Genomic DNA, 26,999 nt, shown 5'->3' on the forward strand with positions numbered 1-26,999 from the left:
CTAAACCCCCGTGATGCTGAACACTTGAGCTTGTCCCAATCCCTGGTGCCTTCCGCCTTTCGCTGCAGCCTGGACTAACCACGCTTTGAGCAAGTGAAACGCTTGCCACTGTTGCTGTACTTCTGAGTCACTGAGATGAGACAGTGACCAGTAACAAGACTCCCTCCTTGATTAAATGAAATCAGGTTCCTCTAAGTCCTCAAGGTCTCGATCTTACAAGTCCATCCTTGCCAGACCCGTTATCACCTAGTTTTAGCAAAAATCTTGTTACATCACTTGAGAAAGAATCCCCACGCTGGTTATCTCACCAAATTCATCATCTCTCACCATTCCCCAGGTGAGATCTGATCACCCTGGCCTGCCTTCAGCACGACTCCTGTTAGGTCTGTTTAGCAAGAATCTTCCTTACTTCTGATGCTCCCTTTTAGGGGCTATCTACCCACTGACCCCTAACCCTGCCTTTTGGCTACATATCCCCACTTGTTCAAGTATGTTCAGAATTGGGCCCCTACTGCAATAGTTCCTGACTAAAATCTGTTTTTACTACTCTAATCACTCTCTGGTTTTGGTTTTTCTTTCTTTTCTTTTCTTTTCTCTTTTCTTTTACTTTTTTTGTTGTTGTTGAGATGAGGTCTCGCTATATTGTCCAGGCTGGTCTTGAACAACTGAGTTCAAGCAATCCTTCTGCCGCAGCCTCCTGAGTGGCTGAGATTACAGGTGTGTTTTTCTTTGACACCAGCAGAGTAAATACCCCTTGGAATATTTCCCTCCATGCTGGTCCTGTTGGTGTTGTGTATGAGGCTGGTGTTTGGGCAGCAAGGGAGTTGATTACAGCAGAAGGTTCCTAATCCCACCTCTACTTCACAACGCTGTTATAATGAACAGAATCAGTCCAAAGAGAAAACAATGAAAACGACAGTCTTACTTGTACCTATATTCCTAGTATCACTTGATCCCCCAACACCACCCCCATCAGCTCCCTGCCTTTAATTCCTCTTTAAGTAACCCGGGAGAGATACGTCCCTTTGGGGACTGAATTTAAAGTGACTATGAATTAGTTATGCCACATCCTTCCAACCACAACCAGGCCCTGTTTAAAAGCAGAGAATGGACAGTGTAAGTGCCTCTTCCCAAGACAGCCACCTCTGCCACTTGTAGTTAGAGAGGCTGCGACTGATCTGGACTGCGGCAAATTAAATGTGTTATAGGCAACACACTCTAAATAAGGCCGCCTCCCTTCTCGCAATGTCCAGTTTAGTCCTGGCACCTCATTTGAGGAGGTGAGGGACAGCAAGAGGAAATGACAGGAAGTGATAAAGGAGCTAAAAATAGATGTGGAAATGTGTAGATATGAGAGTTTCACTGAATATAAATAGGCTGATTAGATTAAGCATCAACTGGCAAATACAATGTCTATAAGCTTCTGGGTTTGCTGTATCAAATTGTCACAACCTCTGATGGGTGAACTAATAATCCACTGTCAATTCGATCATGATGTCATCTTAGATGACATGATCAAAATGGTCGTGAACCAGGGAAGGCTGTGAAGTTACAGTGAGTGATTTGATAACATCTGGCTTGCTTGGGCTCGGCTCTAATAGGGTCTCTGTGGGGTTTACCTCTGATTTGGTAAAAGCATTCTACAATCCAAAAATATCAAGCGTTGTCTACGGACATAAACCAGTCATGACCATAGGAGTTATAAACGGGTTTCAATGTTTTAGTTGACAAATGCTGCAATAACTGCTACACTTTATTGGGCACCTGTTCTGGCCAGGCATTAGGCTAGGACAGAAAGAATGAAGACAATTTGACAGGCATGGTCAATGCAATTATATTATAAAACATAGCAGGGCCAGCAGAGTCCACTCACAGCCAGAACCCTAAGTAGTTTCAAGCACTCAAAAATCAAACAGAAAACAACTTCACGCAAGACTGAAGGGAAGTCATTAAGACCCATCCAGGTCTGAGTGTTATACGAAAATGTTACTGTCGTTAATTACCTTCCAATAATAATGCCAATTACAGAAAATAATGAGAATGTTTACCCACCAAACTAATAGGGACTGGCATTTCAAAGTCTACCAGAATAACCTAGGCAACAAGAAATGTTCTGATTCTCCCATGTCTGGATGTTTTTGCTTTTTCTTCCTTTCCTGCTGACCCACTTCAAAGGTTTCATGCTGGAAACACTAATCATGTCCTCCTTTGCTGGAGTAAGTTACCCTCCTTTTTGCTCCCTGCCTAGTGCCTCCGTTCGCATCCAAAGTAACGCTCATTACCTGCAAACTCAAACTTCCAGCAGCCCACATGCAGATCCCAGCACACAGATATATCATTCCACATTGGCCTACCTGATTTACAGATCACATGGGTTTCTGAAATACAGATAAACGGGCACTTGGGGAAAGCAGTAATGTTGTAAAACGTAGAGAAGGTCATGCATGTATATTTTACCTGGAACCTCACAAGAATTGATAACATTTGTGGGATTTCATTTCTACCTACACAGAAAACACATATTCTAAGGGTTTAAACTTGAAAACTCACATTCAGGCACACATGCTTATGCCTGTCTATGGATGTGTGTGCATGTGTGCACATGCATGCACAAATCAAGAAGAGTTTCTATTTAAAGACAACTTGCACCAAAAAAATCCAGATTACTTTACAATGCAAATCATCATCTTTTGTATTTTATTACGAGCTTCCTTTAGTATATTAATTTCTAAGCATCTTTAACACAAATCATCATATACATACAACTCTCTCTTTCAGATTCAGAGAAGGAGTTAAAAATCAGCCAAAAAAGAAAGCAAAAAACAATGAAGATAAGGGAGGAGGGAGTGTATATGGAGCAAAAGGAGGAAGCCAGCTGGTTAGCTGGCCTTTTAAAAGGTATCAGGGAATTAGGCCCAAGGCCATTAATCCTACAGTTTTCACTCCTCTGCCAACTCTCACGGCTTACATTACCGAGCCATCATCCAGATTAAAAATGGGTTTCCATAAGGGTTTCTGCTTCCCCAGGAACCCTCCTCTCTACCCTCCCCACCTGCTGCCCCTTCACACAGCAGCAAAGTGAAATCCAAAAGAAAAATATTAAAATCAAACAAGGCTTTAGGGATTTGGGGAGGTGGATGGAGAACAGGTTCTTATCTAGGCTTTAGCACAATATTCCTTCTTCAAAGTCTTCTTAATTACATTGAGAGAAAGAACAAGCGACAAACAGAAGAGCTGCCTTCTAAATTCAGTGCCCCTCAATGAAGGGTTCAGGTTCACAGGTTCTAGCCCTAAGGGAGAATGATGATCTGTGCTCAGCTTCTTGCCACCCAGGGTCCCAGCCCCCCAGCCTCTGCCTCCATGTTTCCCTTCACCCCCACTTGCTCAGCTTCCTCCCTGCTCTAAGAAGTGCCCCTACTTGACAGCTATTCTGTCCATGGAATTTCCCTGCTGGGCACCTACATTTTATTTTTCAAGTGGAAAGAATGCAAGGTTAAGGACTGTGTTTCTAAGATCCCAAAGCTGCAGCCAGTTAAGAACTGAATAATTCAACCAGAACTAGTTGTTCTGTCCATACTAGCTGCATGTGGCTTTATCCCCTGTAACCTAGAGCTTGTAGAAATGAGAAAATTAAACCATATCCAGCAGGGCACAGAGCGTGCACATTGTCCTTCCGAGTAGATTCAAAAGGAGCTGGTAGTCATGCATCAGATGGTGTGGCAGTCTTACTGTTAAGGGACAAGCTAAGGGCTGACTGCTCTCCCCCACGAGTGGAAGTGCCAAAGTGGGTTTATCTTTACTGCAGGTCTCCTGTGTGCTGGAATCTGTGCTAGGCACTGTTCCTGCTTTATTTCAATGAACACTTGTAGCAATCTGAAAGGTCATATTGGCTAAGGACTTGAGCTCTGGATCTAAAGCAGGCCTTGTTTTCAATCTCAGATTCAGCACTTTCCAAGAGTGTCTTTGTAGCCCATTGCCGGGCTTCTTTTCTCTTTTTTTTTTTTTTTTTTTTTGAGACAGAGTCTCGCTCTGTCGACCAGGCTGGAGTCCAACGGCCCGATCTCGGTTCACTTCAACCTCTGCCTCCTGGGTTCAAGCAATTCTCCCGCCTCAGCCTTCCGAGTAGCTGGGATTACAGGCGCGTACAACCACGCCCAGCTAATTTTTGTATTTTTAGTAGAGATGAGGTTTCGAGGTTTCACCATGTTGCCCAGGCTGGTTTTGAACTCCTGGGCTCAAGCGATCTGCCCTCCTCAGCCTCCCAAAACGGTCGGATTATAGGCGTGAACCACCGCACCCAGCCGCCTGGAATTTTTAAGCCTCAAGTTTGTTCCACTTTGAATGCAAGAAGCCACCTCATAGGTAAGAATATTATTGAACATAAGGCATGGCACAAAATACTTTCTAAGTGATTATTGTCCTTGTTATACCCACTTTATAGATAAAAGATAAAGTCATTTGTCCAGAAGGCAAAGCCAGGAGTGGCTACTTAATTTTTCTTGACCCCAAAGTGTATACTCTTTCCATAACTTCCTGTTGTCTCCCATGGACCCACCTCAAAATCAGAGGTGTCACAGTGGTGGTTTAACAACCAAAGTTTCAAATTAGCCATATACATTCTGGGGGCTTCCAAGATCCCATACTGGGGTCTCCACCCTTATTTCCTTGCTCTCAGAAGTAATGTGTGATGAACCTGTTCTTTGGAGGAAGTACCTTCCTGTGGGCTGGCTGGCACACTGTCCCAGGCAAGGCCAGCCTGGGGATGTTCTAGATGTTCACTCTTTTTTCTAGTTTCAATCCTGCAAACTCAGTGGACAGAAGGAGCTAGGGACTTGAAAGCATGAAAGCATTGGATTAGAAAGAAAACTACAAATGCAGTCTGTGTAACAGAATCATGGTATTTTCATATTGAGAAGGCTCTTTTTGATTCAGCCATTGTTTAGTTAGACCTGTACAAGTTGAATTCGAACTTATTTTCCCACTGTTACTTTTCTAGGTTTGGTAAAATGTGTGAATGGCTGTGGATCCCATGAAGGTTTTTAAGTTAGAGCACAAAACGTCCTAAAAAGCACGTGACTGGCCTTGCCAGGCAGAGCAGGATGTAAGGAAAAAAAAACAGAAACTCAGGGAAATGCAAGCATAGATTCCAATTCTATTTGTTATCTTGCAGCAATGTATTTATGGTAGATGGTTTCCACATTACCTACTAAACCCAGACGGCAGGAAAAAAAAAAAAATGAATGAACACAGCTCTTCCAAGCTAAGAATATGACTCCAATCAGGTCAGTAAATAGTCAGGAAACTACGGTTTTATCAATTCCTGATTTGTTTTGATTCAAAACACTGACCCCCAAATGCTTCCTTTTTTTACCCTCTAAATCTGAAGCTGGTGAAAAATGAAGTGATTGATAATAAAGCTTTCACTACTTCCAAAAGAAAAAAATAAATGAAAGCAATTTGAATAAAGGGCCATTTACTCTCCTATTCTTTGAATACATTTATTCTATACTGATAAGCACACATTTACGCTAGAGAGAAGATGGTCTTCAGAATAAGCACTTACTAGGATTAAATTTACATTATCTGTCTAAATGCACACACATTTTAGACTGGCAGTAGTATATGTTGTGCTCACATTTTGCAAACACTGGAAAGGTGAGTTTTTAAAAATACAGTTTTACAACTCTAGAAGTTGGGAGAAATATAATTTCCTAATACTAGCTATAGGAGGAAAACAGAAAAGTGACCTATTTTAATGACAAAGCATTCATAATATATCTTCCCCGTACTTAAGAACCAGCTTCATCTCAGCCCATCACCAGAAAGGAGAGAAATCTCGTGTATAAATAATTAGGCAATCTCAAAATGAGTCTGCAGATGCTCTGAGATAAGCCTGCTGACAAAGTCACAATGACAGCTTGCTAACGTGTTCACAGGACATCAGCTTCTCTTAAAAGCTGCTTTCGGAACGATCAGCTGGGTTCCTACTGAGTTAAAACACAAGCATTCGGAGGCAGCTTGTGTTCAACAGCTACATAAATCTATTAATCCAACTAGAGGGGTGGGGGAAACTGAAGATTACATCTCAAAGGCCCTCAAGGCCTGTGTTTCAAGGAGTAGCAAGATAAATGCAACCAATATAAAATAAAGCTTATCAGTTGTTGGTGTTTTAGATGATGCTACCTTTCAGGGCTGGGGAGTCAGGAAAGTACATGTCTGAGAAAAATGACCATATGTGGCAACTTGAGCACTGTTTGCCACTGGGCATCAAAATATCTTACCGTGTGCTCATAAGAGTGGATCTAAACTCAAACTGTAGTTACATGAGCAAAAGAGCCCCCTGATGAGCTGGTGAAGTTCTCCGTTCAACTACAGCAAAATGGACTGAGCTCCCATCACATGCCAGGTGTTGGTCTAAGAGACGGATTTGCCGAGGTGACTACACGGAGGTCCCTGCCTTCCAGGGGCATGTGTCATGGTGGGAAATCCAATGAGAAAACAGTTCGCTTCCACACAATGTGGTGGGTACTTAAAGAGAAGTGTTCTGTGGGAGCCCAGAGCAGAAAAGTCCTGCCTAGAGGTCAGGAAAGATGACCAGAAATGACGCCTGAGCTGACTGATGGTCTGGAAGCACCCAGCGAAGAAGAGCAATGATGTTTGCTAAGGCAACGTCGGTACTGTTTCTCCCCAAAGGCATGGGATTTTATACACACCACCTGCTTTTCATATAGAAAACTCATGAGGAAGCTCCTCACATTGTTTTTAACAGCAAGTTCAAAACAATCTTATTATATGATTATTGTCTGCCAGAGAACACCTGGGCATGAATGCTTCCTGAGTTCATTCCAATTCATGACTAAGAACGGTGGGATACAGCACAGAGCCTTAGGGCTGATGCCATGAAATAAATTCATTGTTGGAGGCTGCTGACCACCCCAAGTCTAATTCTGGGGTAGGTCTCCATTCTACCCTGCAATCACTCCCCTCACTGACAAACGGGCTAAGCTGCTATATTTGCCAAGTTGCAGCTACCAAAGTAAGTAAATTCAATCCTTGGGCTTGGAGTCAGCAGAGGCATGGGGCCAGCCAGAGACCCAGCTTCCATAGCACAGGCTGCTGTTCCTAAGCCCTCTGCTCTCACAAGCCTGGGTGCCACACATTCAGCAATAGGAAATTTGATGGCTCCTGGGACTAAGGGTAAAAAAAGGCTGAAGAAAAGGGAAAATTAATTTTAGCAAACTAGTAGCTACCATTTATTGGTACTTCTTGATGCTAAGTGTTTTACATTCTTTTCCTCAAGTAATCTTGGCACATCTAGGGTTCAAGCACTAAGAGCATTCTCCAATTCCTACCAAGGCAGATACTTGGGTAAACCCTGTACAAAGTCTCAGTCTTACATGAAGCAGAGAGGACTCAGTAAAAAGTTCCAGTAAAGCCAGCTTTCTGGTCTGCAAGAAATGAGATCTAGAGTATCAAATCCATCGTTTTCCAGGGACCAGAGCACTCTTTAGAATACAGTCATGAGTCACTTAACAATGGGGTTACGTTCTAAGAAGTGCGGTATTAGGAGATTTTGCTGTTGAGTGAATATCATAGAGTGTACTCACGCAGACCTGGATGGTATAACCTTCTACACACCTAGAATATATGGTGTAGCCTGTATCTCCTAGACTACAAATCTGTATATCACATTACTATGGGCAGTTGTAACACCATGGTAAGTATTTGTGTATCAACACATATCTAAACATACAATAGGTACAGTAAAAATAGGATATAAAACATAAAAAATGGTACACCTCTGTGGGCCACTTAAAATGAATAGAGCTTGCAAGACTGGGCACTGCTCTGGGTGAGTGAGTGCTGAGTAAACGCAAAGGCCTAGGGCATGACTGTACACTGTTATAGACTTTATAAACACTGTACACTCAGGCTACACTACATTTATTTTAAATTTTTTTCTTTTTTCAATAATAACTTAGCTTACTGTAAGTTTTTTACCTTAGAAACTTTTTAACTTTTTGACTCTTTTGTAATAACACTTAGCTTAAAACACAAACATATTGTATATAGCTTTACAAAAATATTTTCTTTCCTTTTTCCTTTTTTTGTTTTGAGACAGGATGTCACTCTGTCTCCTAGGCTGGAGTGCAGTAGCACAGTAACAACTCACTGCAGCCTCGACCTCCCAGGCTCAGGTGATCCTCCTACCTCAGCCTCCCAGGGAGCTTGGACTACAGGTATGCACCACCACACCTGGCTAATTTTTTGCATTTTTGATACAGATTAGGTTTCGCCATGTTATTCAGGCTGGTCTCAAACTCCTGGGCTCAAGCAATCCACCTGCTTTGGCCTCTCAAAGTGCTGGGATTATAGGTGTGAGCCACTGCGCCCAGCCTATAAACTTTTTTCTATTTTTTTTTTTTTTACTTGTTCAACTTTTTTGTTAAAAGCCAAAACACAAACACACACATTAGCCTAGAGCCTACACAGGGTCAGAATCATCAGTATCTCTGTCTTCCATCTCCACATCTTGTCTCACTGGAAGGTCTCTAGGGACAATAACACGCATGGAGCTGTCATCTCCTATGACAACAATGCCTTCTTCTGAAATATCTCCTGAAGGACCTGTCTGAGGCTGTTTTACAGGTAACTTAAAAAAAAATAAGTAGAATGAGTGCACTCTAAAAATAACAATAAAAAAACTATAGTATAGTAAATACGTAAACCAGTAACATGGTCATTTATTGTCATTAGCAAGTACTATGTACTGTACATAATTGTATGTGCTATACTTTCATAAAACTGGCAATACAGTAGATTTGTTTATACCAGCATCACCACAAATGCGTGAGTAATGCATTGTGCCAAGACAGTATAACAGGTATGATGCCACTAGCTAATAGGAATTTCTCAGTTCCATTAAGATCTTATAAGCCCAGCATCTTCTATGACGTCATTGTTGACTTGGCCATGCATTGTTATAATTAGCTCACACCAGCACTTTTATGGCTTCCCAGGCAAACAAAATAAATGGCAAAACATATTAGGAAAACAATATAATGACCTGCTACAACCTCCAGTAACCCTGTGCAAAGAGGAAAGAGGATCCAAGGGTGAAAAACTAACATATTAGGCATCTTCTTCCATTCATTTTTTTCACTTTCTCCTCTATGCCTGCCAAGGAAAAACTCAGATTCTTGATTTAACACACATTATCTTCAAATAGAATCCTTATCGTTGTCAGACAATGAGAGGAATGTTGCAAATACATCCAACAATCTGGGTATAAGGAATTTCTTTCTTTAGCTCCTTAGATGTTCTTGATTTTCCCATCAAATCTCTAACCTTACAAAGAAAAGTTGTTTTCTTTTTATTCCACGGACAGGCATGATTCTGAGAATTCTGCGTGTTACTACCAAGCTCCACAACCTACACTGTCATAAATCATTCATTCACTCCATCTGTATTTATGAAGCTCTTAATATGGACACAACATTGTTTTTGTTTAGATCTGTGCCCAGCACAAGGGAAGCATGAGACCATGCATCTGGTCTTTCTGGTACTTCCTCATTTGAGGAGCATTTTATTATATCCAGCTATATTTGAAGGTTCAAACTAAGAAGACGAAATAGCAAGTTGCTAAGGTAAAACCCCCAATGCCTTTGAAGATTTTAAGGAAAAGAACAGGGAGAGAGGAGGAGTGTTACTTGACTCTAATGCCAGTTTAGCTCCATGGATTGCCCAGACATTTGCAGAACACAACTCTTTGGTGAGCCAAAACACCCAGGTAAATGAAGGGAGAAAAGAAAATACTCTCATTTTCCACTTAAAAACTCTATGTTTATTGTTAATGTATTAGAACATTGTATAAGTTTCCCAAAGTGGCAGATCACCCCTGAGTTAGAATCAACTCTTAAAATAAAACACACGTACATTTAAAGATTTATCATGGATTCAACTAAACATGAATTAATATGGCATTCCAGAAAGGAGTCAGACAGTATTAAAAATTATTTTCAGTCTCCAATGATTAAACTCCCATTTTCCTCCTTTTTCTTCAGTCTTGCTTGCCCAGAGAAATTAGTCCTACAACAACTTGCCACAGACAGTCTTTATCAAAATATCAAATTAAATGGCGCCTCTAATCAGGAATGTACGGACAGGCTCAATACCAACATGTTAGTGTTACTGGGTTTGAAAAAACATGAGAAATAACTAAAAATAATGAATCAGGCCTTCAGCCAAAAAATCCGAACTATAAAGGATGTTCTAATGGCAGAAGCTGGGAACAGTCAAATTCTTAGATGCACTTCTCTTGAACTTCATTTGTGCCAATTCTCAGAGAATTTGTAAAGTATTTCTTAGGAACACGCGTTACTCAAGAGACAGTAACTGACCTGAAGTTCTTAAAATTTGTTCTTTAATTAACTAGAACATAAAGAATGTGTCTTATCTTCAGGAACTTCTGGTTCTGCTAAGAAAATCAGTTGCAACAGCTTCAAGCTAACAGTGATACTAAACATGGCTGCAAAGACCAGCTCTTAAGGATAACTGGAAACGTGAGAATAACTTCTCAAATATGAAACTTTGTCCTATTTCCAGGACTACAATTATCTGGAATCCAATTTCTTTTTCTAAAAAAGAAAGGGAAATAAAAAGCAGTTCCTATAACAAACCTGATGTGCCTATGTCCTTCTTAGTTTAGTTTTATTTTTAAGCATGCAAACTTATGTTTAACAAAGAATGAAGGTAAACGCAGGCAGCTATGGTGTATTTTAAGGAAAAATGGATGAGTATAAGGAAGTCTACCATTTACTAGATTGTATATTACTTTAGGTAAGTCACTTTAAGGCATAAACATACCTATTGCTTTATGTGTAAAATGAGAATATTTGTGAAGATTGAAATGGGTATGTTCTTTAAAATATCATAGGAGCCGGTACTTTGTAGTTATATATGATAAATGCTAGGATGTGACTTAATATAGAATTAAATTGACACTCATGATTCATGTCACTCTTACATTTACCCTCTTATAACTCAAGTGATTCCCAGAAGAGGGGTACACCTCAGGGTACTACCTGCCCCCCAACACCAGGTGGCTTCATGAAAATTCTTGGGACTAAATTATATTATCAAGAAGTCCAAGAGAATGCTTTAGCTGGAAAAAGTGGGGTGGTGGGGAGAAGGTTGGGGAGAGGGAAGTAGGAGAGAGAGAGAAAGAAGGACAGAGAAATTGGAAAAAAAAAAGTGTGAAGAAAAAAAAAATTACCCTGTGGTTAGTTTCTACTCACTTTAAGAAAGTGAAGGATTTACTCTAGGAAGTGGTAACAAAGGGTGTGCTCACTTTGTGAAAACTGGTCAAGCTGGACATTTAAGATGTGTGAACTTTTTTTGGATATATATTATGCCTCAATTAAAAAAGCTGACTTTAAATGTGTCTTTCAAAAAAGAACTAAAAGAACATTCCATTTCTAGCTCTGAGCAAAGAAAAAAATTAAATCAAAAAGACCTATAAATATACCACTTGATCAAAGTGTACTTATAGGAACTCTGGTGAAAAGAAGCCAGAATTCCAAGTGGGAGAGACCTAGATTCAAATCTAGCTCTGTTGGCTGACCGTGGGCAAGCTGACATTCCTGAGCCTTGGTTTTTCTCTTCTGTATAATGGAGTAAAGAGTAACTTCCTTCAAGAGGCACGTAGGTACCAACAAGTATTATTCCCTTCCCCATTCCTACTCTGCTCTGAAAAATCATCAAGGTCAGAGTCCACACCAAGTCCTGTTGTTTTAATATGGTGCCTGGCACATGGGGGGCAGCTTGATAAAACTTTGTAGAAGGGGGAGGCGGAGGTTGCAGTGACCTGAAATCGTACCACTGCACTCCAGCCTGGTGACAGAGCGAGACTGTCTCAAAAAAACCAAAACAGGCCAGGCGTGGTGGCTCACGCCTGTAATCCCAGCACTTTGGGAGGCCGAGGCGGGTGGATCACGAGGTCAGGAGATCGAGATCATCCTGGCTAACACGGTGAAAGCCCGTCTGTACTAAAAACACAAAAAATTAGCCGGGCGTGGTGGCGGGCGCCTGCAGTCCCAGCTACTCGGGAGGCTGAGGCAGGACAATGGCGTGAACCCGGGAGGCGGAGCTTGCAGTGAGCCGAGATCGCGCCACTGCAGTCCAACCTGGGAGAAGAGCGAGACTCCGTCTCAAAAAAACAAAACAAAAAACACTTTGTGGAATGAAAGACCAGATTTTTACCTTCTAGGGACCTATAATCTCGAACGGAGTCAGAAGAAAAAGACCATGAAAAAAATCCATCACTTCCAAGCCCCTCCGCTTGCTGATGGCTCCCATTTCTCCCAATCACAAATAATCTCTCCCAACAGGCTGTGGTACTGAGATTTCTTTAAAAAGGCTACACTTCCTGCTATTTGCTTTTGCTTACATAAAACCAACTCTGCTTCCTCATTCTTTAGTATCCCTGATTTGCATGACTCTTGGCTTGGTATTCTATCCCTCGTATTTCTTACAGCAGTTGTTTGACCATTCCTCACCATTCAAGGTCTTATTTCACTTAACACTTTAACTTTGAACATGTGTTACTTTCACAGCATCTCTCACAAGGCAAATGCTCAAATTTAATTTTGATTGATTTAATTCTTGGAACACAAGTTCGGAACCCATCTAAATACTAGCTTATGTTAAGTCTCTACCCAACTAGTTTCATGTAAGGAGAATATACAAACCAGGAATAGCAATAATGATAATAAGACTGATGCCTGTGACAGACTAAAGTAATAGATTTATTTCCCATTCAATTTAGGAACCCTTAGAATTCTTCTAACACAGCAGTCCAGGAAGCCACTACCAATCAATCTAAGTTGCCATCAGTTGAAATCTATTAGTCATTCCCAGGAATAAATATCCTCCAGTATGACAGCTCTCCAACACCTTATGACCTCAGAAAATGTATCCCAAATCTGTCTTAACACATGCAATGTTTCCTACGAAATTCCTTAAAGCACAGAATTCATACCCTGTATCTTAAACTTCTAACACACAACTAGTATACTCAAAACCGAAAGATGATGTACATCATGAACACTTGAAAAATTCACGAATTAAAAATGTCTTACAGGGAAAGCAGTTGTCTCCTTGGGAAAGAATGGTGTATGGTTTACACCTATTTTAAGGAGAATGATGGTGGCATGAGCAGGTGTCAGATCTCAGAGCAGAAGGCAGAGGTCTTGTCATACAGGTCTTACTCCACCCCACAAACCCCATCCAATATTGCTTGACTAATTTGGAATGGCTATTACTCAACATTTGGAGAATCAGAATTCCAAGCAGAGAAAGCAAACAAGAAAAAAGGAACAGTTTGCTGTAGCATATCTCCCTCACCCCACGAAATTAAGATGGCCCAAACCATGGCTGACCATGCACATTCACTTACATACAGCCCTGACTTCTCTATAAAGGATGTAGCTTTCCTCAAGGTATCCCTTCTTCCTTTTCTCCATCCCCCAAACAATTCTCAGATCAAACAACAAAGCTGCCTCTGCAAAGTCTACTAATATCCTGATTATTCTCCAAACATAAAAAGGTGAAAATGAATTGTTAGTCTTTTAATAACGAATGCAATCAGTCCATCTAAGAGTTTAGCAATTTTCCCTAACAACATACTTCTCTCCACCCTCACCCTTACTTTTCTGAGCTTTCAAACACTGTGAAACATTTGCTCTAGGTACCTAGCATCAGAGCCTTGCACAAAGGGTTGGAGAGAACAATCGACAAAGCCTCTATCTGTTTCATCATGATGGTTCCCCTTACTAATAGGAAGTGTGCTTCCTGTCCATCCTTTGACTTTTGCTGTCAGTGGGAACCCTATTGCCTTAAAATAACATTCTGAATTCACCTGCTTACTGTTGAGCACGCTAACACTTTCAGTAGTGACACTTAAAAATGGAAAGTTCCATTAATTGTTAATAATGGAAAATGAGATACTCTGAATTAGGAATATGCTCTCACTTTGCTGTTTATTATAGCTATCAGTTCTGCCATATTATATATGAATTCATAAATTATGCTGTGAGATTTACTCTCATACCACATTGAACTTGGTAAGAATCTATTCTAGGTCTTCCTGATTAAATTCACATTTAAAAAAAAAATTAATGGGTAAGTATTTATCCACTATTAGGAAACTCTCACTTTTTGAAGCGATCTATAAAGTCTAGTAATCAGCCTGTGAGCAAGTTCAGGTATTTATAAGCCTATAAAATACACCTGCCACATGTGGGTTTTTACACTTGAACAGTAAGATGGCATTGGCTCTGCAATATTTTTGAAAAAGCCAAATACCTACCTCTTCATCACTTGTAAAATTAAAGGGCAATCGTAAACATCGGATACATTTCTATTTCTTAAATAGGATCTAAAGTTTAAAGAAACAGCTTTCTGGCTCATTTTAGCCAAACATTAAAGTTTCACTAATTTAGGTAACATTCATTTGGTATCCAAAAATGAGCATAAATACTGTGTGCTGGAAAAAAACTCTTTAAGCAAACAAATGCTATCAGTAATACAGGATTAAGGGGGATGATATATGTTCCCTCAAAAGAATTATTTCCCAAAACTGCATTTACAAAGAATAAATGAAACTTAAAACTATTCTGTATCTCTTACAAATCAGTCTCTTAAAAACTCATTTTACAATAGGGTCAGACAATGATAAAAACTTAGAACTGCTGGTCATGGTGTCTCATGCCTGTAATCACAGCACTTTGGGAGGCTGAGGCAGGAAGATCACCTGAGGTCAGGAGTTCAAGACCAGCCTGGGCAACATGGTGAAACCCCACCTCTACTAAAAATACAAAAATTAGCTAGGCATGGTGGTGTATGCCTGTAGTCCCAGCTACTCAGGAGGCTGAGGCAGGAGAATCACTTGAACTCGGGAGGCAGAGGTTGCAGTGAGCCAAGATCGTGTCACTGCACTCCAGCCCGGGCAACAGAGCGAGACACCATCTCAAAACAAAAACAAAAACAAAAAAAACCAACAAAAAACAAAAACAAAACACACACACACAAAACAACTTGGAACTAGCTGGGTAAAGAATATAGTGGCCTAAGGAAATCGTTATTAGCCCCAATTTATAAACAATTAAATTGATGACAGAAAGAGGAGCAGGTGGCTTCTTGCATTCAAAGTGGAACAAACTTGAGGCTTAAAAATTCCAGGCGGCTGGGTGCGGTGGTTCACGCCTATAATCCGACCGTTTTGGGAGGCTGAGGAGGGCAGATCGCTTGAGCCCAGGAGTTCAAAACCAGCCTGGGCAACATGGTGAAACCTCGAAACCTCATCTCTACTAAAAATACAAAAATTAGCTGGGCGTGGTTGTACGCGCCTGTAATCCCAGCTACTCGGAAGGCTGAGGCAGGAGAATTGCTTGAACCCAGGAGGCAGAGGTTGAAGTGAACCGAGATCGGGCCGTTGGACTCCAGCCTGGTCGACAGAGCGAGACTCTGTCTCAAAAAAAAAAGAGAAAAGCTGCTATAGATGAATAACTTGGTGTCATGGCTAAAAAAGAACAATAATTGCAACCTATTCTAAACTAAGAGTAAGACATTGAGAAATGCCAAATCAGGCCCTTCAGTTGCAATTGGAAATTTAAAACTATGTTTTTCATTTACAAGAAAGAAAATTCACTTCTAGCATGTTATCTTTATCATCATATTAGGCCATATTGTAGATGAGAACACTGGAGTTTAAAGAGATCAAATAGTATGTAATAAAAGGAGAACCAACATCTTTTAAAAACTGTAAATGTATGTGATCCTGTTTGTGGACCAGCAGAGATTATGCTAGTTTGATTTAGTGAACTGTGTGAATAATGAATAAATTCAAAAAATATGTATTTTTTTGTTCCCATGTTTTTTATATTTATTTCAAGTTTACAATACAAGCAGATTTAAGCTGAGCAAGGGTTCCTTGAGAAGGAGGGCCCGACATGGATCTGAAAGCTGGTGCTATTAATAGTTTGAAAAGAAACAAAATCATAGTTGGATGGTACATGCATTTGCCATCATTTATTGTCATCATTCATTGCCACCATTTCCCAGTTCATTTCCTGGAAATCCTGCTGCAGAAAAGGTTGTAAATTAATTTTTTTTTATTTTTATTTTTTAGATGGAGTCTCGCTCTGTCACCCAGATGGGAGTACAATGGTGCAATCTCAGCTCACTGCAACCTCCGCCTCCCAGGTTCAAGCGATTCTCCTGCCTCAGCCTCCCAAGTAGCTGGGATTACTGTTGTGCACTGCCATGCCCAGCTAATTTTTGTATTTTTAGTAGAGACGGGGTTTCACCGTGTTGGCCAAACTGGCCTTGAACTCCTGACTTCAAGTGGTCCACCCGTGCCGGCCTCCCAAAGCGTTGGGATTACAGGCATAAGCCACCGCACCAGCATTAATTCTTTTACAAGCTGTCCAGGATGGGCCCTAATACACTATCCCCATGATAAGCATAACTTGCATTCCATTTCCTCTAATAAGGGTGTCTCCACAGTGGATTAAATGCCTCAGCCAGATGCACAATAGACTAGTCATCATTTTCACAAGCTCCAGTTAAACCACACGAGTAAGGGCATAGGAGGTCAAAGGGGGCTGCTGATGATGAAGAAACCGGGCTGCCAGGAGGAAGGCAAATAAGAGCAAGAGTGTTTTCCACTAGTAGGTCACCTTACAGATACTGACATATCTGTCTCCTGGCTAGGCACTCCTTCCTCTCCACCACTCCAGGAAAGATGGTCCACCCGGTGTGGGATCCAACCACAGCTTACAGACACAACAAAAACTTCCTGTGAGAGCTTGAGACTGCCGAAAACACATCTAGTTTTGCTTTATTCTTGCTACTTGGAACTACAGCCTGGGAACAGATACACTGAATTACTGCGACAGCCAGAGAGAAAATCATGAAATAGGAGGAGGGAGGAAGAAGAGTCAACTGGGAAAAGGGAAAGGAAATTAAATGAACAGAGAATCAATTATATGTGAGCCTGTCTCTGCTTCATATGTTATACAATTTAAGCACCAAGTGTCATTGTCCTCATTTCACATATGAGTTGACGGAAGCTTAGAAAAGCCTAGCAACAGGACCAAATGCTTTGACTCTACTTTGCAAACTCTTTCCACATAATCATGGCAGGATCCGCATGATCCTGAACTGGAGAAACAATATAGTCAACTAATGCTCTGTATGTGTCTCAGAAATAGCTTTGCTGCTGGGTGCCACTGGTACATGCAATGTAACCACAGACAGGCCAATGAGGCCTAAATCTGTTAGATGTCAGGCTGCAGAGATGGATGATGCCAGAAGGATCAAGGTGAAGGGCGTGAACTCTAGAGTCGAGCTGTCCAAGGCTGATTTCTGACTGCAAGACTCACTGGCAAAGTGACCCTGACAATAACACGTGCTCTCCAACCTTCAGCATCCTCAGCTGTAAATGGACTAACAGCACTTGCCTCAGGTGCCAGTGGGTGTTTAGCCCAGTGCCTGGCACACGGCAAGTTCTTTAGTGTTATTAAGTTCTTTGATAATTAAATTTCCCCAGTTGTGTAATTAAGCCAATGGCAGGAAAAGATCATAAATACAGATAAGCTCCAAATAAACCTTGGCACAAGAAAAGGCCTCCTGTCTCCTGGTATGCTGTAGGGTGGCAGGAAGCATGTTACTCTAACCATCACAAAAAAGCAGAGGCTCTGATAAGTGATTACTCCAACCGCAATAACCCAAGAGATGAAACTCCCTCATTCTGAATGGCCAGTTCCGATTCCCTATCCAATGAGCAACTGAGTCTAAATCCCATCAATGAAGCCTACAAAAGGGACAAAAGTCAGCAACCAACATCACAGCCCACTCAAGCTCAGAGAGCTGCCCTGCTCACCAAGAGAAGGCAAGTCAAGAGCTAAGGGCAAATGGGGAACCCTTTGAGACTGGCCTCAGAAAGAAGGCCAACGGTGGACCTAAATTTCACATTTCTCAAACACTTATTCTGCGAGCTTGTAAAAAGCAGTCTCTTCAACACCTGGGTCTTCTGAGCTCAGCAAAAAGTGCCAGGTTCGAGGATACCCAGAATTCTCCCTCATCTTTCACTTTGAACTGAGCTGGCCTGCTGCAAATATTGTTTCAATATCACATCATGACACTTTATTCTAGTACTTAGCTTGATGCCTTCTGCAGAGCAAGCACTCAGTAAATATTTGTTGATTACACCAACAGAATTATTTTATTTTTAAAAAACACTGACACAATCTGCAATATGAATCTTCTTTCTCACGGGAGCTATGTTTAGTTATTTTTAGGATATCCCTGCAGAAATGCACAAAAAGAGGGAGAAAAGAAGAAAAAGAGGAAAAGGAAGAAGAGTAGAAGAGAGAGAGAGGATAAGAGAGCTAATTTTTAGGCACCTGAAGAAGAAGAAGAAAAAAAGACTATTGAAGACAAGGTGTTAGAAATGAGGCACGATGGCTCTGAGATCAAAAATGGCACCATATTGCAAGAGGGAGAGAGAGACCCAAATTAACATCCTTTCCTTGCAAATGGTTCTGTCCTATAGCAGAGTATACTAAAGAATACTGCTTAGAAGTCCTAACAGAGCTAGATCTTGCCATCATTAGAGATTGCCTCAACAATTTTCAAGCCCTGAGATTTACCCTTTACAATTTTCTATTTTAGGACCTAAGGGGCAGGTAGGAGAACTTTCACTTTTTACTTTATCCCTTTTCTTATTCCTTTATTTATTTATTACAATGGGTAGGTACCAATTTAGTATTTAAAAACTAATTATCTCCCTTCAGAACTAGAAGAGATCTTGAAAATAATTAATTTCAGTGGTCTTCTTTGTTGGAGAGAAAACCATGGGCTTACAAGAGATCAAGCTGAGTCTGGGATGCAGGCTTCCTAACTTGGGGGCCAGTGTTCATTCAGCTTCCTGGATCACATCAACAGTCTCAGAGCACTGGGTGGCAGAGGCCAAGGAGGAGCGACAAAGTGTGATGAGTTTATTCTGGCTAGAGTGGATCCTGATCCCCTAATAGTGAATCATCTACAATTTTACAACATGACCACCAGAAAGCATATACATATAATGTCCCAAAGTCAAGAGCAATCTGAAGAAAAATTTCTTCCCACAATTTATGAATTATTTCTCATAACAGTAGGGAGGCTATGCTGGAAACCATGAGCTAGGTTCCAGGTAATTGGTGCATAAGAACTAAATAAGACAAGGATAAATTTATGTGATAGAGCTAACAATGGGACAACTGAGCATTTCTTAAAATGTGGCCGCGCACAGTGGCTCATGCCTATAATCCCAGCACTTTGGGAGGCTGAGACAGGTGGATCACTGAAGGTCAGGAGTTCGAGACCAGCCTGGACAACATGTTAAAACCCTGTCTCTAATAAAAATACAAAAATTAGCTGGGTGGTCGCGTGTACCTGTAATTTCAGCTACTTGGAAGGCTGAGGCAGGAGAATCGCTTGAACCCGGGAGGTGGAGGTTGCAGTGAGCAAAGACTGCACCACTACCCCCAAGCCTGGGTGACAGAAAGAGACTCCATTTTTTTTAAAAGGTGTCAGACAGTCCAAGAGAACACAATGCATGCCAGGGTTCTGGTTCCCCTAGCTTCCCTGTCCCCTTCGCTAGAAATTAACATCAAACCACAGAAAATGCCTCAGTAACTACTTCTTCAGCTCATCTCCAGTCTAGGGGCCCCAGTATATAGTGGCAGTTCAGGGTATCTCCTTCTGTTTTTCAGACACTTCAACTGTTCCAAAGACCTGGGCAAAATCTCCCTTTTTTAAACCATGTGGAGAATCTTCTTTCCTATTGTCATTAGTTAAGTATAAAATCAAAAGCAGAGACTCTCTTTAACCAGTACAGCCTCTTTTCCAGAGAATGCCAAGGAGACGCTAACCCAGTTTGGTCCTGAGCTGGTTTCCATCTCCATGATTCATGCCATAAATGTCATCCTCAGCAAAGAGAGGATCTGGTGGCCTGCTACTCTCAGCTTCTTACTCTGGGAGGGAAGTAGGAAGTGGTAAGGATAATTCCTTGGATTTACTTCATCAATGACTCTATAATAAGTAATAAGGGTAGAACACATTACAATTCACAAAATAATTCCACAAACATTATCTCACTTGCTTTTAATAACAACATTGGAAGAATGAACAACTCATTCCAGTGAGGAATTTAAGACTCAGAGGTTAAATAAAGCTGAATATGGGAAAGATTAGGCAATTTGCCCACCTCAGGACTTGAACTTTGGTGGGCAGGCTTTAGCTCTAAAGTTCTTCTATACCAAAGCTGTGTCAACATTAAAGCTGGGACTGGACTTCCAATCTGAGGACCCAGAAGAGTCAGCATATCCTACTTAACTTCTAAGGGTAGGGTGGCGGGGTATGATTTCTTTATTTTGAACTATAATTTATATGGTGTCTCCTAGAAGTTTATGGCCCATACAGGTATCTTCCACTGTTGCGGGAAGTCAAGGACCCCGAACAGAGGGACCGGCTGGAGCCTCGGCAGAGGAACATAAATTGTGAAGATTTCATTTTAATATGGACATTTATCAGTTCCCAAATAATACTTTTATAATTTCTTACACTTGTCTTACTTTAATCTCTTAATCCTGTTATCTTCGTAAGCTGAGGATGTACGTCAGGACCACTGTGATAATTGTGTTAACGGTATAAATTGATTGTAAAACGTGTGTTTGAACAATATGAAATTAGTACACCTTGAAAAAGAACAGAATAACAGTGATTTTTAGGGAACAAGGGAAGACAACCATAAGGTCTGACTGCCTGCGGGGTTGGGCAAAAAGAGCCATATTTTTCTCTTTGCAGAGAGCCTATAAATGGACGTGCGAGTAGGAAAGATATCACTGAATTCTCTTCCTAGCAAGGAATATTAATATTAATGCCCTGGGAAAGGAATGCATTCCTAGGGGGAGGTCTATAAACGGCCGCTCTGGGAATGTCTATCTTATGCGGTTGAGATAAGAACTGAGATATGCCCTGGTCTCTGGCAGTACCCTCAGACTTACTAGGGTGGGGAAAAACTCTGCCCTGATAAATTTGTGGTCAGACCGGTTCTCTACTCTCGAACCCTGTTTTCTGTTGTTTAAGATGTTTATCAAGACAATACGTGCACCGCTGAACATAGACCCTTATCAGTAGTTCTGCTTTTACCCTTTGCCTTGTGCTCAGTAGTTCTGCTTTTGCCCTTTGTCCTGTTCCCTCAGAAGCATGTGATCTTTATTAGATCCTTATTAGTAGTTCTGCTTTTTGCCCTTTGAAGCATGTGATCTTTGTACCTACTCCCTGTTCTTACACCCTCTCCCCTTTTGAAACCCTTAATGAAAAACTTGCTGGTTTGAGGCTCAGGTGGGCATCACGGTCCTACCAATATGTGATGTCACCCCCAGCAGCCCAGCTGTAAAATTCCTCTCTTTGTACTCTTTCTCTTTATTTCTCAGCCGGCCAACACTTTTGGAAGATAGAAAGAATCTACATTGAAATATTGGGGGCGGGTTCCCCTGATATTCCACTAAGAAACTATTTCAATATGGTTTTATTATGCTGACTAATTATTACAAGTTGATCAGTCTTCTTCTGCTGATATTGTTTGAGTGGAATAATTCTGCATAGAATGTTCAAATTTTTGTTTTTTGCTTAATAGATATAACCATATATATATATATATATACCTGAATAGGCATTCATTTAGATCTCCCTCATTCTTCTAAAATCCTGCCTAATATTCTACCAAATGGATGTACCACAATGCTTTTAATCAATCTCCTACTGATAGAAATTTAAGTTATTTCAAATTTTTCATTCTTATAAAAAAATCAAAATATTTATTTCAACAACCAAATAACAAACAATATATCAAATCACTATTTGAGGTCAGGCACGGTGGCTTATGCCTGTAATCCCAGCACTTTGGGAGACCAAGGCAGACAGATCACCTGAGGTGAGGAGTTCGAGACCAGCCTAACCAACATGGCAAAACCCTGTCTCTGCTAAAAATACAGAAAGTTAGCCGGGCATGGTGGCGCATGCCTGTGGTCCCAGCTACTCAGGAGGCTGAGGCACGAGACTCTCTTAAACCCAAGAGGCGGAGGTTACAGTGAGCCAAGATCATGCCACTGCATTCCAGCGTGGGTGACAGAGCGAGACTCTGTCTCAAACAAAACAAAACAAAACAAAACAAAACAAAACAAAACAAAAGTCACTCTTTGTGATAAAGTCTGAAATATTCTGTTTTGGCTGAATGTAAAAACTTAAAACTATAAAGCAGAGGTGCTGTGGGCTCTGTCAAAGTCAGTTTTATCACAGGAAACCGTTGTCTTTTGTGGATTTCTTTGATAGAAACTGCTTTTTTTGGCATTTCACTTCTTTTATAGAAAAAATGCTATTCTGTTGGGACTGAATGATACTATATCTTGACACAGAAAAGTTATTTATACATAAATTACAGTAACTTTACCCATGTTAATGAAGCTGTCATCCTCTTGTGTGATTTACTGCAATCTTGTAATAGAAAAGTTTCATTTCCTTGACACCTGGGTGGTAATGGGACCGATAATTCCATGCTGCAAATGTTTCCTCCTCTCTTCTACCAGAGGTGTGTTAAAATCTAGAGTGCATTTTTAGGTCAGAGTAATTCTGATACCAGTCTCCAGGGCCCAGAGCACCAGCGCAGACACACACAGGTGTGCGCACCCACACAGTCACATCCATTATCCAGAAAACCCAGCAAGACCTCCTCTTTCTTCAAGAGATTTATAGTTCTCAGGATATAGGCCTGTACTTGTTCTGCAACTGAGTTTGAGAATAGCAACATATACGTAATGAGAAAGAATAATAGAAGGCATTAAAAAATGACTGGGAATTAAAGTTGGAAAAGGCAGTTTAACAGAGAGTTCAGATTTCAGTTTAAAGTTTAACAATACTGTTTAAGGATGGGTGCAGTGACTCACACCTGTAATCCCAGCACTTTGGGACACCAAGGCAGGAGGATCACTTGAGGTGAGGAGTTTGAGACTAGTCTGGCCAACATGGTGAAACCCCGTCTCTACTAAAAATAGAAAAATTAGCTGGGTGTGGTGGCCTGTAATCCCAGCTACTCGGGAGACTGAGGCACGAGAATCACTTGAATCCAGAAGGCAGAGGTTGCCTTAAGCCAAGATAGCACCACTGCACTCCAGCCTGGGGGATAGAGTGAGACTCTGTCTCAAAAAGTAATAATAATAAAATAAAAAATAAAGTTTAACAATACCGTTTAAGAAAAAGCTACTTCAGAAGGTAATAGATAAGAAGAAACATATAGGTAATTGAAGACAGCCTATCACAATCAATTTTTCTCTCTAGATCTTACCAAAATTGTAATATCAGTAATAATACTGATAGAAAGAAAATTAAAGGAGATGAGAAAAAGGATTTTCATAAGCTACCACAATGTAAAGATCTTTTCATAAATAGCTTCTTACAACTACAGACTTTTTAAAAAACCTTCATCCTGGCTGGGCGCTGTGGCTCACACCTGTAATCTTGGCACTCTGGGAGGCCGAGGCGGGCGGATCATTTGAGGTCAGAAGTTAGAGACTAGCTTGGCGGACATGGCTTAATCCCGTCTCTACCAAAAATAGCCAGGCGTAGTGGTGCGTGCCTGTAATCCCAGCTACTTGGGAGGCTGAGGCAAGAGAATCACTTGAACCCAGGAGGTGGAGGTTGCAGTGAGCTGAGATTGTGCCACTGCACTCCAGCCTGGACGACAGAGTGAGACGCCATCTCAAAAAATAAAAATAAAAAACCTTCATCCTAACACATCCTAACACGTCTGCTCCTTTAATATTTTCATTGATAATATGCTTTCGTAAAATTCTCACCAGCATTTTTGAGGTGCAATATTCATTTAGCTAAGCGAATGGTTTCACCTCAAAGATGCAAAGTTCTGGCTGGACCTAGTATGATCAGCACACTCACACTTTCTGATGTGCGTATGGTACCACTGCCTTTTCTGTCTGTCAGTAGAATGGTCTCCACTGTAGAGAAGACAGAACAGCAGATGAAGGTGTGCCTGGACAAGCAACCACAGGTTCCATCCCAGAGGTAGCTGGTGGGTGGCGCTGTTAGTCCACAGGACCTATATTCCTTTTCTGCTTGTCACTCATTCAGGCACTGCTGACCACCACTCACTAACCTGGCATTCACTGAATGCCTAACATGTGCCTTGGGTGGTATGTGTTACGTTCCAGAAATACACAGACAACCAAAACTTGGTCAGCACACTGTTAGGCACCTGACAGCAAGGATCCTGACATAATGAACACTAATGTGGGGAGTCCTGTGCCTTTTCCAGGGATAAGCCTCCATTTAGCACAGCTATCTGCCAAATGACTTCCTTGCTGAGCTTCAAAGCCTCCCGTAATGCAGCTTTAAACAGCACGAGATGCTGTAACAAAAGAGACGTCACTACACTGAATGTGAAGTTGGTATTTCCTATTTCCCAGCAATGTTACTTCATAGGATTTCTATTACATTCAACTTTCTAGAATTTCACTGCATGTTCTTTCACTCAACAATAGTGAGCTTCTGCGCTGCACCCAACACAGTGCCAGGTCCTGTGAGTATCATTAGGAATATTATAGATTCTGCCCCAAAGGAGCTCCACAGATCACCTTTAGTTGGAAATAAGGCTCAATGTAGACAGTAACAACCATGCTGCACAGATATCATGAATGTGCTAGTCTCCCAAGATGGCCTCATCAATTCCTCCCTTCCCTGATTGCATTTGCTGCTTCTTCCTTCCAGAAGTAAGTCTATTTCCCCTCCTCTTGAATCTAGGCTGGCTTTGTGTTTTGCTCTGACCAGCAGAATGCTGCAGAGGTGACACTGTGTCTGTTTTAAGTGTGGCCCATAAGTGGCCTGAAACTTCTGCTTTTGCTCTTTAGGAATCTGCCTCTTGGGACCCAGCTGCCACACTGTAAGGAAGTCCAGAGCGGGCGTGAGAGGCTGCATGGAGGCGAACTGAGCGTCCCACTGAGCTACCAGCCGAATGCAGCCACAGGAGTGACCCCAGCAGATGCCACATGGAATGGAAAAACAACCAACCCAGTCAAGGCACTGGATCTCGAGGAACTATAAAAGTTGTTTTAAGGCACTATTTTGCAGATGTCTTATTACATATGAGAATATCCACTGACATGATGTGTTAGTCACACTGTTGGAGGAGAATATGAGAAATATCCATGGATCAGTTCCCCTAAGTGAACCCTCTAATATTCCTGAGGCAAAAAAAAAATCTACTGTTAGCAGAATTCAATACAGCTTACCTCTCCAAAAATCTACTGTTAGCAGAATTCAATACAGCTTACCTCTCCTGTGGAGACCTTTGTTTTAGCCTCACACATCCTTGGAGAAAAAAAGAATTCAACTTTACAGAAAAATAGCAAAATAGGAGAACTCTTCTTAACTTTCATGCTCATTAAAGTGAAAATTAATTAAGAAGACATCTGAGGTGTTTTTTTTTTTGGAGACAAGGTGTCATTTTGTCACCCAGGCTGGAGTGGTGGTGTGATCACATCCCACTGTAGCCTCGAACTCCTGGGCTCAAGTGATCCTCCCACCTCAGCCTCCAGAACAGCTGGCACTACAGGCATTACACCACCACACCAGGCTATTTTTGTTGTTGTTTTTGGTAGAGATGGGGTCTCCCTGTGTTGCCCAGGCTGGTCTCAAACTCCCAGGCTCAAGCAGTCCTCCCACCTTGACCTCCCAAAATGCAGGAATTACAGCCATGAGCCACCACGCTTGGCCAACATCTGAGTTAAAACTTTTTTTTTTTTTTTTGAGACAAGGTTTTGCTCAGTTGCTGAGGATGGAGTGCAGTGGTGCAAACACGGCTAACTGCAGCTTCAAACTCCTGGGCTCAAGCAATCATCCCGCCTCACCCTCCCAAGTAGCTAGGACCACAGGCACGTGCTACTATATTTGGCTAATTTTTAAAATTTCTGTAGAGATGGGATCTTGCCATGTTGTCCAAGCTGGTCTTAACTCCTGGGTTCAAGTGATCCTTCCACTTCAGCCTCCCAAAGTGCTGCAATTAAAGCCATGAGCTACCACACCTGACCAAGAGCTAACCATTAAATAAATATTCCTGGTTTAAATTCCAAATTATATGAAATGAATCAACTATATTTTATTTAGAAGGTCAGATAATACATTACAAACAGTGAATGTAGATTTTATGTATTTACTATGTGTTAAGAAGAATTTTAAATCCTGATTTCTTTTTCTCGGGTTTAACTGGAAGCAAGAGCACGCCACATCATGTTGATAGTTGATATGGTGGAGCTGATGAGAAGGAACAGGGGTTTGAGGTTAAAGAGAGAACAAAGAGAGAGGCAACAGAAATGGGAAAATTCAATTTTTATTTTATTTTATTTTTTTGAGACAGAGTCTCAATCTGTCACCCAGGCTGGAATGCAGTGACGCGATCTCGGCTCACTGCAACCTCCACCTCCCAGGTTCAGGCGATTCTCTTGCCTCAGCCTCCCGAGTAGCTGGGATTACAGGTATATGGCACCACACCAGCTGATTTTTGTATTTTTAGTAGAGACGGGGTTTCACCATATTGGCCAGGCTGGTCTCGAACTCCTGAACTCAGGTGATCCACCCGCCTCGGCCTCCAAGTGCTGGGATTACGGGCATGAGCCACCGCACCTGGCCCAATTTTTAAATTTTTTAACAGTATCTGTAGTGTGACTTCAACAGTAAAATCACTTACCAATAAGTAAAACATTCCTAAATCCCTCCTGTGTTCTTTCCCTGCATTATCTCCTAAGCACGGGCAACATTTTCATTTAACAAAGCAAACACCACAGAAAATAATCATCATGCAAACTCTCCTGGGAAGGAAGAGGGAC

At 41.3% G+C, this 26,999-nt stretch overlaps 1 protein-coding gene across 1 annotated transcript in view; it reads right to left on the reverse strand.

Annotated features, from left to right (window-relative positions):
• EXT1 (exostosin glycosyltransferase 1) overlaps positions 1–26,999 on the reverse strand; it is a 317,337-nt gene that overhangs the window by 99,110 nt on the left and 191,228 nt on the right. The window lies entirely within an intron of this gene.

This window comes from Homo sapiens, chromosome 8, assembly GCF_000001405.40.
Source record: "Homo sapiens chromosome 8, GRCh38.p14 Primary Assembly".
NCBI classification, from domain to species: domain Eukaryota; kingdom Metazoa; phylum Chordata; class Mammalia; order Primates; family Hominidae; genus Homo; species Homo sapiens.